General features: G+C 37.5%; 1 protein-coding gene across 4 annotated transcripts in view; it reads right to left on the bottom strand.

Annotated features, from left to right (window-relative positions):
* Positions 1-16,527, bottom strand: part of ACSL3 (acyl-CoA synthetase long chain family member 3) — an 83,604-nt gene that overhangs the window by 4,138 nt on the left and 62,939 nt on the right. For all 4 annotated transcript variants that reach the window (NM_004457.5, NM_203372.3, NM_001354158.2 and 1 more), the window contains 6 exons: positions 15,907-16,046; positions 13,313-13,485; positions 11,566-11,640; positions 9,690-9,881; positions 7,222-7,336; positions 5,815-5,972 (listed from right to left, as the gene is read on the bottom strand). In NM_004457.5, coding sequence (NP_004448.2) covers positions 5,815-5,972; positions 7,222-7,336; positions 9,690-9,881; positions 11,566-11,640; positions 13,313-13,485; positions 15,907-16,046 — 853 coding nt within the window. The remainder of the gene's footprint in view (positions 1-5,814; positions 5,973-7,221; positions 7,337-9,689; positions 9,882-11,565; positions 11,641-13,312; positions 13,486-15,906; positions 16,047-16,527) is intronic.

Here is a 16,527-nt window from a genome sequence, read left to right as displayed (position 1 = left end):
GTTAGGTTAAAAAAAAAAAAAAAAAAGACAAGTTCCAGCACAGGCTGCATAAACTTATATGCACCTAGATGTGAGGAGAAGGATACATACCAAGCTATAAACTCCACACCTCTAGAGCCTGGTATCCAGGAGAAAGGAAATGGGGAAATTCACCTTTTCCTTTATGCCTATTTGTTTTCCTTGAATTTATTATGCAGAGCACATTTACTTCAGAAATTAAAAAATAATAAAGTTTAAGACAAATTATGTCATTGAACCAGGATATTCCCTACAAGCTATGTGGATACAGAATGCTTGCTCACTATTGTGTTACTAACATATTGCCTAATACTAAGGAGATTCATGATAGCAGCAAATGAAGGGAGAAAGGAAGGGAAGAAAGGAAAACATTTAAAGGAGATTAAGGGGCAGATGTAGTTTTGAAAAACCGTATGTCGTCAGTAGGACTGACTTATTTTTCTAAGCATTTGTTCAACAAATATTAAAAAACTATTACTACATGTAAAGTGCTTTACTAAACATTCTTTTAAAAATGCAAAAAAATGACAAGTTTCTGCTTTCAAGTAGCATGCAATCTAACAAAGGGAAATGGGTAAACAGCTAGCCATATGATACATGAAAGAAATGTGTTAAGGAGTGATGTCAGCAAGATGACAATATAGGAAAACGCAGTCCCTCCTTCCCCTACAGAAACATGGATTTAACAATGCTATATGGGCCTATTTATTGCCTGTGTAAGAAACCCAGAAACCACTTAAGAAGTTCCTACACTCCGGGACAGAAGGAAACCAACCGCATCAAAGGCTGGTAGAAAAATGCAAGGCATTCGCTTGCCAGAGACCCTCCCCTCAGCACAGTACAAAGTAATAGGGAAGAAATCCCTAAGAGGAGTGGAACACACATCCAATATTCTGACTTCTGGGGTGCAAGAAACTTGCTTCTGTCTTTCCTGAATCTAAATAACAGGAACAGGGCACCAGGTTGGGAGCTGTCAAGAACAAAGATTAACATGAACCAGAGGCTGCAGTATCACAGACACTAGGTAGAGCTCCAGTACCATGGCCAACTACAGCACCAGTGAGGCCACAATATCACAGACAGACACCAGAGGGAGCTCCTGAGTAGAAACCAGCAAACCTCTTCAATTAGATTGTACCCCACAAACTCAAAAAGGACACAGCCTCGGAAAAGGCTTAAGATGGCTGGCTCTAGAATCCGTAGTAGGGCTGACTGGACAAAGTCCTCTCAATACAAAAGCAGACTGTAAGACAGAGAAAGGTAGCTGATTTTTCAAATGCTGACATCCCAACAAAAATAAAGACATACAAAGAAATAGAAAAACACAGGCTATCAAAAGATCAAATTAAATCTCCAGAAATAAACCCCAGAAAGACATGGAAATAGATGAATTACCAAATTCAAAATAACCGTCATAAGAATGCTCAATGAATTACAAGAGAGTACAGACAGACACCTGAAAAAAAACAAGAAAACAACGCATGAACAAAATGAAAGTATAAATGAAAGAAATTTTTTTAAAATGAAGAACCAAATAGAAATTCTGGAACCAAATACAATAAATGGATTGAAAAATTCACTAGAGGATCGACAGCAACTTGACCAGGTAGAAAAAAGAATCTATGAACTCCAAGACAGGACTTCTGAAATTACTAAGAGAGGAAAAATGTAAAAATGAAGAGAACCTAAGGAATGAATGGGACACCATCAAGTGGAAAAATGCTCATTATAGGAGTTCAGAAAAAGAAGACAGAAAGGAGCAGAAAGCCTATTTGAAGAAATCATGGCCAAAACCTTCCTGTATCTGAGAAGAGAAATGGGAGTATAAATTCAAGCAGCTCAAAACACTCCACTAGGAAGAGAACTACACCAAAACACACTCGTAATCAAGCTGTCAAAAGTCACAAAAAATCTTGAAAGCAGCAAGAGAAAAATGACTCATCACATACAAAGAAGCTCTCATTGAACTATCATTTATCAGCAGAAAACTGGCAGGTTAGAAAATAGTAGTATTCAAAATACTGAAAGAAAAAAAATTGTCAACCAAGAATACTGTAACCTAAACCTGTCCTTCGAAAATAAGGGAAAAATTAAGACTCCTTGATAAACAACAGTAGAGGGGGTTTATCACCACTAGACCAGTCCTACAAAAAATAATGATAGGAGTACTTCAAGTTAAAGCAAAATGAAAACAAACAGTAACACAAAACCATAAGAAACTACAATACTCCTTGGTAAAGGTAAATACATAGGCAAATACAGAATTCTGAAAGTAATTTGATATAGGTGTATAAGTCACATTTAAATCTGTATAGAATTTAAAAAACAAAGACATAAAAAGTAATTATGAATCTATATTAATGACTACACAATAAAAAGGTCTTTTTTGAGGGAGGAGCAGAGTTACAAAGGAGTCAAGTTTTTATATGAGACGGAAGATTAAGCTGCTATCAAACTAAAATATACTGTTAATAATTTTAAGATGTTTTATGTAACTGTATTGACAACCACAAAGAAAATGTCTATAGAACATACACAAAGATAAAAGACAAGGGAATCAAAGAATGTAATTATACACACAAAAAATCAACAAAACAAAAGAAGGCAGCAAGAGAGGAAAAGCTACAAGATATACAGAAAATAGTTAACAAAATGGAAATAGGTATGAAAAGTCTTTCATATCAATAATGACCTGAAATGTAAATTAAATGCCCAATTAAAAGATACAGATTGACCAACTGAATATAAAACAAGACTCAAGTATATGCCATCCACAAGAAACATACATTAGATCCAAGGGCATGCGTAACCTAAAGTGAAGGATGGAAATAGATATTCCATGAAAATAAGAACCTAAAGGGGATGGCCATACTTAAATAAAACAGACTTTAAGACAAAAATTGTCACAATAGACAAAGAAGGACATTAATTACAATATAATGATAAAAGAGTCAATTCTCCAGGATGATATAACAATTACAAATATACGCGTAACTTGAGTGTTTCTAAATATATGAAGCAAACACTGACATAACTAGGGGAAGAAATAGAAAGCAATACAATAATAGTAGGAGACTTCAATACTCCACTTTCATTTATGAATAGAACAATCAGAAGATCAAAAAGAAAAGTTATATGTAGGAAACTCTAAAGACACACACACAACCTTCATAACTAATAAAGATTCCAGCAAAGTTGCAGGATAAAAAAAATCAACACGAAAAATCAATTGCATGTCTATACACTAACAATAACTGTTCTGAAAAAGAAATTAAGAAAACAATACCATTTAATGTAGCATCAAAAAGGAGGAAATACTTAGGAATAAACCTAACCAAGGAGGTGAAAGACTTGTACCCTGAAAACTACAAAATGTTACTAAAAGAAATTTTAAAAGACACAAATAAATGCAATGTCCTGATAAGGTTTAGTTCTGGGTCCCCACCCAAATCTCATCTCAAATTATATTCCCCATAATCCCGACATGTCAAGGGGGGAACCTGGTGGGAGGTGACTGGATCATGGGTGCGGTTTCTCCATGTTGTTCTCGTGATGGTGAGTGAGACCTCACAAGATCTGATGGTTTTAGGGGCTCTTCCCCCTTCGCTTTCTCTCTCTCTCTCTTCATTTGCTCTCTCGCCTGCCGCCATGTAAGATGTCCCTTTGCTTCCCTCTCTCCCCTTCTGCCACAAATGTACAGTAAGTTTTCTGAGGCCTCCCCGAGCCATGCAGAACTGTGAGTCAATTAAACCTCTTTCCTTTATAAATTACCCAGTCTCAGGTATGTCTTTATAGCAGTGTGAGAACAGACTAATACATGTTCAGAATTTGTAAGAAACTTGTACAACTTAACTACGGGGGTGGGGTGGGGGGGGAGGGTGCAGAATTCTGATTTTAAAATGGGCAAAGGACTTGAATCGACAATTTTCTGCAGAAGATATGTAAATGGCCAACAAGTATATATAAGATGCCCAACATAACTAATAAAAAGAGAAATGCAAATCAAAACCACAATGAGATATCACTTCACATCTGTTAGAATGGATATTAGAAAAAAATATACAAATGTTGGTGAGGATGTGGAGAAATGGAAACCCTTAATACCGTTGGTGGGAATGTAAATCAATAGTCATTAAGGAACACAGTATGGAGTTTCCTGAAAAAATTAAATATAGTATTAATAATTGCCATAGGATCTAACAATCTCATTTCTGGGTATATATCCAAAATAATTCAAAGCAGAATCTCAAAGCCATATTTGCACATCTATGTTCATCACAGCATTATTCACAATACCCAAAAGGTAGAAACAACCCAAATGTCCAAACACAGATGAATGGATAAAGAAAATGTGCAATATACATACAATGGAGTATTACGCAACCTAAAAAAGAAAAATCCTATCACATGGTACAATATGAATAAACCCTGAAGATACACTAAATAAGACAGTCACAAAAGAATAAATACCGTATGATTCCACATGTATGAAGTACCTCAAGTAATCAAAATTTTAGAAACATAAAGTAAAAAGGTGGAGGGAAGGGGGAGAGAGGGAAGGGGAATTAGTGTAATGGGTATAGTGTCTCCGTTTTGCAAGATGAAATAGTTATAAAGATCAGTTGTGCAATAATGTAAATACACTTAACATTACTGAATTGTACACTTAAAATGTTAAGATAGTAAATTGAACGTTATGAGATTTTTACTACAATAAAAGAAAGAAATATGCAAAATTAAAGACATAAAGTGCCTTGGGAGTAAAAAAAGATGTATTAACTCTAACCTGTAAAAGTAAACATAGAAATAATACACAAGGTTTCAGTCTTCAAAGATTAAAAATATTTCAGGAGTGGTTTCCAAAGGAATATACACTATGAGCAAAACCAATAAGGCATGTACCACAGGGCTGACTTAAAAGACTGTGTGGAATCTGACATTACTGAAATGTGAAGAGACTAAAAAGTAAATGCTGGAGCCTGGCATGGTGACACATGCTTGTAGTCCCAGGTACTCAGGAAGCTAAGTTGGGAGGATCGCTGCAGCCTAGGAGTTCAAGACTGGCCTGGCCAACATAGTGAGGCCTCATCTCAACAACAAAACAAAACAACAAAAAAATTTTTTTTAATTAGCTAGGCATAGTGGCATGCACTGGTAGTCCCGGCTACTTGGGAGGCTGAAGGGAAGAATCGCTTGAGCCTGGGAGTTCAAGGCTGCAGTAAGCTATGACTGCCACTGCATTCTGGTTCGGGCAACAGAAGAGACCCTGTCTCTTAAAAAAATAAATAAAATAAAAAATAATTCACGCTTGTTTTATGCTTGACACAACAACTCAAAAGACACAGATGTTTTTATTAGACCAACAATATTAAACTAGTCTTGGGCACTCCTCACCCCACCAAAAATGGTTATGAAACTATTAGTACAACCAACTACCAGTACTCTAACATTGTATAAAGTTTCAAAAGGAGTTTTGGCCTGATCACTATGGGCTAGTGTGGCCAGAAAACTGAGCAAGGCCTTGAAGAACAGCTGACATAAGAGAAAGGGTAACCCAGAAAGCAAAGGTTGCAGAGACAAGAACATTCAAGATACATGTACATCAGTTTGGTGGGAGTGGTTAATTTGTGTAGCAAGGCTTGAATGGGGGACTGATAAGTTTACTCTTCCATATACTAACGGTAGAAATGGTTTCTGAGCAGAAAGTAATGAACCCTAAACCTTAAAACAGGTTGAATGCATGTAAGTACTCTCTTCCCATCTCAGTTTTTAGTATCAGTTTAACCGAATACTCACCTGAAATAGCAGCTTCGGAAAGCACTTTAAGTACCTCATTTTCCATTTCACAACTGTTACACAGCTCCTCCCAAGTCCCTTTAAGTCCTTTCTTTCGAGCTAGTTCAGTTAGTTCCTTTTGATTTGGCACAACAAATCCAATGACATAAGAATGATAACTGAAATATAGAAAGGATAACAGATAAGGAACAAAATGGTGAACTGTGTTGACTGCAGTTATTATTACAGTGACAAGTAGTAAATAACTCCTCATTTTTTTTAAAATGCATGTGCCATACTTGGCACTGGCATATCCATTTCATGCAACCGCCAGTTTTACTGTTTGATTCATAATATTTTCCAATGCTTTGGCAGAGTTCGTTGCTAAATAAACTTCAATCTGACATTTCATGATGAATTTCAACTATGAAAAACTGTTATGAATACTGCCATGTACACATTTTAAAAGAAAGTTACAAATATTAGAATATTCACCTTTAAACCCTATCAGTATTTCATAGCATGTGTTTTAAAAAACTAAAATTTAACATAAATTAAAAACTATCTTAAAAATTCAGCAACGAATCAAAATGATGTGAATATATTCTTTTTTTTCTTTTGTTATCATCAGAATTTGTATTGATAGAGGAACTCTGACTATGCCCAACGAAGGCAAATACTTTTTTGAAGGCCATAAAATAGTAACATCAGGAAGAAGATGCTTCTGGTTACTATCACATGAATAAATCCAGATCTGTATCATCACTAAAGAAAATACTAAATGGCTAAAGACCAGAATCATTTATAAATAAATGCAATTCATTTCTAACTTGGGCTGTACCCCCAACATCTGTTTCTAAATTAGTTTTCCTGATAACAGATTTTATTTTCCCATAATAATTCATGTCAACTGTCGTAGACAGGTCCCCAGCTGCCTCTTCATCATCATGAGGTGGGGAGGCTGTGTGTTTAGGCTGCAGCTTAACACAGCTTACATAGGAGCCCCAAGACCTGCCTGGAGTGCCGAGCAGGCTCAAGTGTAGAGCAGGAGTAAGTAAGCAGCACACTCCTCACTGCCACTTCTTTACTCCCCATTCCTCTGGAGTAGTTCTGTGAAGCTTCCCCTGCTGAGGGACAGGTAGGTAGGGGTACCAAGGCAGCAGGAAGGAAGGTTTTATTTTCTTCACCTCCCTCCATGGGACACTGCAGTGAGACGTAAAGCAGAAAACAGGGACAGAGAGAAAGATCAGGGGAAGCCTTACAAGGAAAAGAGTCAGCTAATGGCTGCAATGAGAAGGAGGCCATTCCCACAAGTAACAGATAGGAAGAGTTCTCGGAACATTTTTACAAAGAAGGTCCATACAGGTAGGAAATGTCTATGGACATCAAATATTTTAAGTAAAAGTAGTATGAATTCCACGTTCTTACCTGTTTGCATATGCACAAATGTTATCTACTAGTGGAAGATTCTTCAAAGCTGCCTCTACTTTCCCAAGAGAAACATATTCCCCTGCCTGTAGTTTTACAAGGTCCTTTTTACGATCTGCAAAACAAAGAAAGGTGGAGAGGGGAAAACAATGAGTAATAATATTAGTAACATTTAATACATATATAAATACTGGCCATTCTCTAAGTAATTTGCTATCAAATTATTTAAAACTTTGCAAAATTAAGCATTAATGGTTATGCTGAAATTAAAAGCACATATTAAAATTAGGCCCTAATTTTTGTACTGCTAAATACATGCTTTTTTTTTTTTTTTTTTTTTTTTGAGACGGAGTCTCGCTCTGTCGCCCAGGCTGGACTGCGGACTGCAGTGGCGCAATCTCGGCTCACTGCAAGCTCCGCTTCCCGGGTTCACGCCATTCTCCTGCCTCAGCCTCCCGAGTAGCTGGGACTACAGGCGCCCGCCACCGCGCCCGGCTAATTTTTTGTATTTTTAGTAGAGACGGGGTTTCACCTTGTTAGCCAGGATGGTCTCGATCTCCTGACCTCATGATCCACCCGCCTCGGCCTCCCAAAGTGCTGGGATTACAGGCGTGAGCCACCGCGCCCGGCCCATGCTTTTAAAAGAAAAACAGGCCAGGTCCAGTGGCTCATGTCTGTAATCCCAGCACTTCGGGAGGCCGAGGCGGGCACATCACTTGAGGTCAGGAGTTCGAGACCAGCCTGGCCAACATGGTGAAACCCCGACTCTACTAAAAATACGAAAACTAGCTGGGCGTGGTGGTGCACACCTGTAATCCCAGCTACTCAGGAGGCTGAGGCAGGAGAATTGCGTGAACCCAGGAGACAGAGGTTGCAGTGAGCTGAGATGGTGCCACTGCACTCCAGCCTGGGCGACAGAGCAAGACTACATCTCAAAAAAAGAAAGAAAGAAAAACAATTAACTTCTACTTAATGGACTCCATTAGCAGGGCTTCAAGTATGTTCTTCTGAACAGGTTTATTTCTGGTATCCATTAGTACCAGGCAGGTGAAGAAGATATTCAATGCCATCTGCAAGTTCACAACCTATCTGGAGACATGCATAATGCAAAAACGTATTACTTCAATACATTGGTACTACAATGGTAGCGCTAAGTGTTAAGACTCTCCAACCTGGGGATTTGGAAAAAATTCTTGCAAGTGAGGCCTGAGCTGAGGGTTGGATGGTTGGTTGGTTTTGAGATTTTGAGACAGGGTCTCACTCTGTTGCTCATACTGGAGTGCAGTGGCACAATCACGGCCTCCTGGGCTCCTGTGATACTCCCACCTCAGCCTCCCGAGTAGCTGGGATTACAGGCCTGAGTCACTATGCTCAGCTGCTTGAGCCGAGTCCTAAGGGAAAAGTGAGAGGTCAGGTGCAACAACACTGGCAAAAGCCAGAAGAACATCAGCTCTAATTTCAGCTGCATCAAGGAGGAGGAGGAAAACAACTGACGATGAAGGTGAAGAGGGGAACAATGTTAACAGGGGCACCCTGAACTGAGCTTCTAGGAGACATTAAATGGTTGTGGCCAGTAAGATCCATGTTTAGTAATTACATGGTGGCAGTGAGAGGGTGTGTTTAAGGGGGTAAACATGGCAACAGAGAAATTATTGGGAGAGGGTGGCAGAAGGTACAGGCCTGACCAATGATCAAGTAAGAGAGACAAAGAGAGAAGAGTATGATTTTGAGACATAGCTCATAAAATAAACTAGTGGGATATAAAATAGGCATGGGAAGCTGACTGAAGAGAACAGTCTTGAGTCTCCTCCCAGGTTTCTAGTTAGCAAGACAGGGATAGAAATGCCATTAACTTTTTTTTTTTTTTTAGACAGAGTCTTGCTCTGTTGCCCAGGTTGGAGTGCAGTGTCGCGATCTCCGCTTGCTGCAAGCTCTGCCTCCCGGGTTCATGCCATTCTCCTGCCTCGGCCTCCCAAGTAGCTGGGATTACAGGTGCCCGACAAAGACACCACACACGGCTAACTGAAATGCCATTAACTTTTAAAAAAAAAGAACCTAAAAGGAGAAGCAGAATAAGGTATTTTTCAACCCATATGAGTCATAGTACTTGAGCTGCCTGGCTTTCCTCTATTCTCCTGGGCAGGGCAAGGCAAGGGTGCAGTTCAGACTGTGAGAGCTCCATCCACTAATCTCTAGATGTCAGAAACACAGGCAGGAAACAATGACTGAAGGTTATCTAAGAGTAATTTAAAATACCACTGCTGCTGAACCATCTTTGAGAACTCATAACATGTCAGGCCTCATAAATTCCACAGTCCGTAATATTTTATATTCCAGGAGTGATGCAACAACCCAAACTAAGATTACATAAAGATTTATATTATTCAGCGCCTCCTCTAAATATATTGTGCTTCTTGTGTAAACTATTTCAGAAACATTCATTTTCAAAAAAATATTAGATGACTTACCAATAATCTTTAAGCATCCATCGGGTTCAAACTCTCCAATATCCCCAGTACAGAGCCACCTTTGTCCATTTTCATCTTCAAAGAAATCAGCTTTTGTTTTTGCTTCATTTTTGTAGTACCCCATTGTCACACTTTGGCCCCCAATAAGAATTTCACCCCTGGGGTGTGGCTTATCAGTATTAAAGTATCCACCTAATAAAATAATAATTGAGTTAATAGTTGAGTTAAATACAACACATGAAAATTTGAAACTACTAGTTTCTAAACAGTCATCTTATTTTAATCCAATTAGAACTTCCCAAAGGAAAAAAGGCAGACACTATGAATGAACAAAGTTTATCAATTTAACAGTAGGCACAAAATCTCAGTTGCTAAACCATAAGTATTTATGTTTTCAAACTTCTATTCTGAGAAAAAAATTAAACTCTAAAACCCAACATCTTCCATTTGTTGTATAAAATTATAAATACAAGAGACAAATTATTTGAAAGATTCTGCAACATCTTAAATATCATATTGATAAACTGACAGAAGTATTAAGTCATGCAATTAATAGAACAAATCCCTATATAAGAATGAGTTACTGCTGGGCCAGTGGCTCATGTCTGTAATCACAACACTTTGGGAGGCCAAGGAGGGTGGATCGCCTGAGGTCAGGAGTTTGAGGTCAGCCTGGCCAACATGGTGAAACCCCACCTCTACTAAAAATACAAAAAATTAGTCGGGCATGGTGGCGCACACCTGAAATCCCAGCTATTAGGGAGGCTGAGGCAGGAGAATCACTTGAACCCAGGAGGTGGAGGTTGCAGTGAGCCGAAACCATTGACACTGCACTCCAGCCTGGGCAACAAGAGCAAAACTCCGTGTCAAAAAAAAAAAAAAAAAAAAAGTGAGTTACTACATATTAAGATTTATTCTTATAGATAATTTCAAAATGACTCCAAGCCTAAATTTATTAAATATTCCCACTAATTCTGCTAAAGATAGCTAAAAGACATCCAAGCCTTAGAATCTTTCTTTATTTATTTATTTTGGAGATGAGAGTTTCGCTCTGTCACCCAGGCTAGAGTGCAGTGGCGCAATCTTGGCTCACTGCAACCTCCACCTCCCGGGTTCAAGTGATTCTCCTGCCTCAGCCTCCCGAGTAGCTGGAATTACAGGCACGCACCACCACGCCTGGCTAATTTTTGTATTTTTAGTAGAGACGGTTTCACCATGTTGGTCAGGCTGGTCTCGAACTCCTGACCCCATGATCCGCCCGTCTTGGCCTCCCAAAGTGCTGGGATTACAGGAGTGAGCCACTGCGCCCGGCCAGAATCTTTATCTTTACTTAATGTAGAGGAAAGGTGCATCCCAATAAAACACAGATAATTTGTATATTTTAACAGGATCAAATAAATTTTTAAGTGACCATTATTTTAAATGGCATGAGAATAAACAGACTTCTATGGAATTGCAGTGAAAATTTCCTTCTAATAATACAAGGTTGAAGCCCTCAGAAAAAAAAAGAAAAAAATCATTTAAAAATCCACAATTTCATAAAATAAATTTTATAATTTTACTTCTGCAAAATAAAGTTATGATCACTCCTAATTTATTGACATTATTCACTTATTAGTACATTTCTCAAGTTTTTGCCATAATTCTTACTTGCATCTACGTAATAAGTAAAATGAAAACAATAATAGTTCTTCAGAAACATCTTTGAAACAAGAAAAATAAATGCATTCATATAGTTCGAGATAAAACACGTCTATCACAAAGGACAAAAATGAGCACTTATGGGTGTTTACATTCTAAAGCAAGAAAGTGAAGCACTAATTTTCAAGTTTAATACTTTAAAAATTAATGCTCTGTGGTTAAAATAGTTTATTACCTTCCTCCCAGTTTTTTAATTTGATTTCACAGCAAACTAATGGTGCTCCCACTCTGCCAGTATTGTAGTCCCACACTAGGAATTAAATGAAAAAAAGGATATTTGAGAACAGTAGCTAATACACTGCTTCATTTTTCTAAATTACCAAAAATGATTATTTATCCTAAGGCTGAGGTATCCCCAGCTATTCCTTAAAAGCAGAAGTCACATATTGGTGAAGCACAGGCCGTGAGGCCTGTAGAGTCGTATTTTTTGGCCTACATTGAGGTTTTTTTTTTTTTTTTAAATTAGTTATTGTCATTCTTAAAAAATCAGGAAATTTTAGATGTAAGTGTGGAATCGCCAGCAACAATGGGCCCACATTTCAGGTACAGCAGAACTGACGGCCTCTGTTAGAGAGGGCATGCCTGCTCCTGTTCCCTCAGAATCAATCCTTACCCATCACATTGTCTTACATTAGGGCCCACTTGACTCATTTAAATAGGTAGCTGCCTGGTTCTTGAGTTTGAAATCCCTGTCTTAAAGGATGATGAAAACAATGGTTTACGTCTATTCTACTTTCTTATTAGGCCTCACCGATGTGCAGTATAAAACACCTCTCTAATCTTTTCCCATGTAATGTATCACCATTTCAAAGTGAGATCTCTGCAGGCTTCCATCAGCTTATGCTATCACACCCTATTTAAAATTAATACAGCAATAGCTCAAGAGCCAGGCTGAAGAATAAGACTGGTGGCTTTCAAGGATGTGAGGAAAGAACCCTCCACTATTATGAATTACTATTGCATTATGTTTCCTCTTCAAAGACCAAATATCAGAAATGAAAGGCTGATATTTAACATTTTAAAGACTTTTATTTAAAACATAAACTGTTACTGATTAATCATTCAATTTGAATCTTAAAAATAGAAGAAATTAAGGATCCTCAGAAGAAAGAAATCCCCTATGCATGTATTTAAGATTGCTTATTTCCTACAAAACATGACTTAGAACTAGCTTCCAAAAATATACGAAAACAGAGAACATAACTGAAAAACAGAAAAATGAAGTAATACATGAAAATGGTATACAGAGCCACTCAAAATAAATAGGGAAAAATCAGTCATGAGGTTTTGTATCTATCCGTATATGGCAAATACAAAGTAGGAGAAGCACAGCTGTATCCTGTACCGGAAAGCAAAATAACTTTCTCCCATAAAAGGGACGCATGAGGCCCTATGCGATTCATCTCAGAACTGCTGATTAGTTGGTAGATCTCCTCCTCAAACACAACCACATGATAAACTCTGGTAATAATATTCCCTAGACCAGAACTTAGTTCCTTCTCTAACACTTACAGAAATCCTCATAAACATTTCTGAACCTGAGCCTTAATATACTCACCTACACAAATAAACAAAAGCACCTTAAGTTTTCTACATAAAAAGAAATTTAATCACTGATGTGAGAAAATAAATGTACACAAAACAGTCAGTGTTTGTTACTAAAGTTTCTCTTCCAAAATGCTAAGTGGTTTTTAATATTACCTATCAGTTTGATATAAAAACTTCTCCAGATAAATTATTGACTCCAGATGCATCTAATACATTCTAAAAATTGATATCAATGATCATAGTACTTGGAATCCACCATTATTCTGCCTCACAAACACCTTACTACTCTTCTCCTATATATTTGCAGAAAATATCCCATACCCCAAAAAAACGTCTGGCATCACACTCCAGCCTCTGACCATGGAGAACACTACCTTCGGAAATTGTTCCAGCCCCAGCAGATTCAGTGAGCCCGTATCCCTGACCAACAGGACAGCAGAAACAGATGTTCATGAATCGCTGCGTGGTTGCAGAAAGTGGAGCGCCACCACACAACAGGAGACGAATATTTCCCCCTAGCAAGCTTCGAACTTTCCGGAAAACAAAGCTAAAGAAAAAAATTAGAGAACCACAGGATTTTAAAACTGAATGGGATTTTCCAAATCACTTAAACTAATCCCCCAGTTTTGATATGAGAGATTTTGAGATTAAGTTACTTATCCAAGGTCACACAGCCAATTTGGAGAGTCTCTTGAGCCCCAAATGTTAATTTTTTGAAGTTCAACAAGGTAAAGAATTTATTATTTCCTCTTAAGAGCTTTTCAAGTGATATTCGAATTTGAATTGTCAGGTTTAGTTTTGTATAGTGACAGGAAAACCCTTGCTTATGGCCACTTTTATATCATTATTTACATAAAATATTTATCATATATTAATACTGAACAATTCTATCATCTTTATGAAATGTATTAAAATCAAATTAATTTTTGCTTTAATGTACTTTATTAGAAATGTGTATAATTTGTATACCACAATCTGTTTTTGAAGTTTCACTAATTCAAGCTTTGAATTGTTTGTTAAAAATAATCTAGTAAATTATCTGTGAAGCATTTAAAAAAGGAAACAAGTTAAACATCTAATTGATGTTTCTGAAAATACACTAATACAAAGATTGCATACTGCCTTGATCAAAAAGGAGAGGTAGTACTTAAAAAAAAAAATCTTTGCAAAAGGTGAAGACTACACGGTGACAATTTTTTAAAAATGGTATTAACAGACTTTTCAAATCAGCTTTTACAGTTATCCCTTGGCATCCAGTCCTCTGGATACCAAAACCCTCAGATGCCTAAGTCCCTTATATAAAACGGCATAGTATTTGCATAAAGCCTACACACATCCTCCAAAATACTTTAAATTATCTCTAGATTACTTATAATACCTAATACAATATAAATTCATTGTAAATAGTTGTTATACTGTATTTTCTTTTCCACTGTTATATTTTATTGTTTTTTCCCCAGAATACTTTTGATCCACGGTTGGTTGAATCTAAAGATGTGGAACCTGTTGATACAGAGGGCCGACTTTACAACTCACTGAAGAAATAACTAACGTAAGGCAGGAAAAAAACTTACAAAGTTCTAAATTATGTGAAGCATCTGAAAACTATATTAATATTACCATAAAAAATACTTTGAATGTCATACTTCCATTTTCTAACTTCTAAGCTATTTTATGATCAAATCATAAATCTATGTACTCTATTAACACTACACAAATACAAGCTGGAACAAAACTGATCATTTAAAGCTTTAAATACAAAACATTTAATTATATTCATACTGAAATAAATATAAAAGCAAAAGAGAAACTATTTCTCAAAATAATTAAAACTCCCTAAGTGTTCACAGAAAATATAAACTCACAAATAGCAAAATCTTAAGTGAAAACACACTTTTAATGACATTGCAGGTTTTTTAAACTGCTCATACTATTACAAAGGTTTTTTGTTTGCTTGTCTTTTAAAGAGACAGAGTCTCACTTTCACCCAGGGTGGTGTGCAGTGGTGCAGTCATTGCTCCCAGGCCCAAATAATCCTCCCACTGGGGGCCCAAACAATCCTCCTACTTCAGTCCCTGAAGTAGCTGGGATTACAGATATATGACACCATGCCCAGCTAAGCAGAGAAGGAATCTTGCTATGTTGCCCAGGCTGGTCTTGATTTCCTGGCCTCAAGCAATCCTCCCATGTCAAGATGGATTTTTTTTTTTTTTTTTTTTTTGAGACAAGAGTCTCGCACTCTGTCACCCAGGCTGGAGTGCAGTGGCACGATCTCGGCTCACTGCAACCTCTGCCTCCCGAGGGAGTTCAAGCAATTCTCCTGCTTCAGCCTCCCTAACAGCTGAGACTACAGGCACATGCCACCACTCTGGCTAATTTTTGTAATTTTAGTAGAGATGTGGTTTTGTCACGTTGGCCAGGCTGGTCTTGAATTCCTGACCTCAGGTGATCTGCCCGCCTTGGCCTCCCAAAGCACTGGGATTACAGGAGTGAGCCACCGTGTTCAGCCAGGATGGATTTTTTTTTTTTTTTTGAGACGGATTCTCGCTCTGTCGCCCAGGCAGACAGATCGTGCAGTGGCGCAATCTTGGCTCACTGCAAGCTCCGCCTCCTGGGTTCGCACCATTCTCCTGCCTCAGCCTCCTGAGTAGCTGGGATTACAGGCGCCCGCCACCAAGCCCCGCTAATTTCTTTTTGTGTTTTTAGTAGAGACGGGGTTTCACTGTGTTAGCCAGGATGGTCTCGATCTCCTGACCTCATGATCCACCTGCCTCGGCCTCCCAAAGTGCTGGGATTACAGGCATGAGCCACCGCGCCTGGCCTGGGATGGATTTTTTTTAAAGAGTTCTCTTGACTTTATGAAATATATTTCTTTCTTATAACTATCTCAATTAATTGGGCTATTAATGTGAACTAAATGATTAAATTATCAAGAGGAGAAAGAAGGAGGTAGAGAGTCTTTACTTACCTGTCGCACAGTGGAGTATTACGTCCTTTTGAAATCTGTTCCATTTTGTAATTATAGGCCAGAATAAACAGATTACGTTGAAAACTACTCATTTCACTGACTTTATTCATGACATTTTTGTAGATCCGATCCATGATTTCCTAAATGTATAAAAATGAGTTTAACATAGTTAATAATAACAGCTGCCTTACATATTCACTTAGCATTAGATTAACATTTCTAGCAATATTAAGGCATTTTAAAAGAAGTACTCTTCAACTGTGGATGTGATTCAGCAAGAAGGAAAAAACCTTTTGTGAATTTTTCAAAAAGATGTATCCTATCAAGATCAAACTTTTAAAATCGAACCACAATTAGTTTAAAAATAAAGTTTCCACAAAAATAATTTTTAAAAGCAGAAATATATCTAGATACTCATATAAATTGTAAGATATTCTTTATATTGCTTTGCTTATCTTACTAATTCTGAACTAAAACCTACTCACAAAATAAACGAACAACCGTCTGAAATGGTTTTTCAAAATGTCCTAACTTTATCTTATAAAAATATACAGTACCACATTCTTTGCTCACAAAAAGACCATGCAACGTTTGGGAGTTTTTGTTTGGCTATTTGACTTT

Source organism: Homo sapiens, chromosome 2, assembly GCF_000001405.40.
Source record: "Homo sapiens chromosome 2, GRCh38.p14 Primary Assembly".
In the NCBI taxonomy this organism is placed as follows: Eukaryota; Metazoa; Chordata; class Mammalia; order Primates; family Hominidae; genus Homo; species Homo sapiens.
The sequence above is the reverse complement of the archived record's forward strand: the minus strand, read 5'-3'. Positions and strand labels throughout refer to the sequence as shown.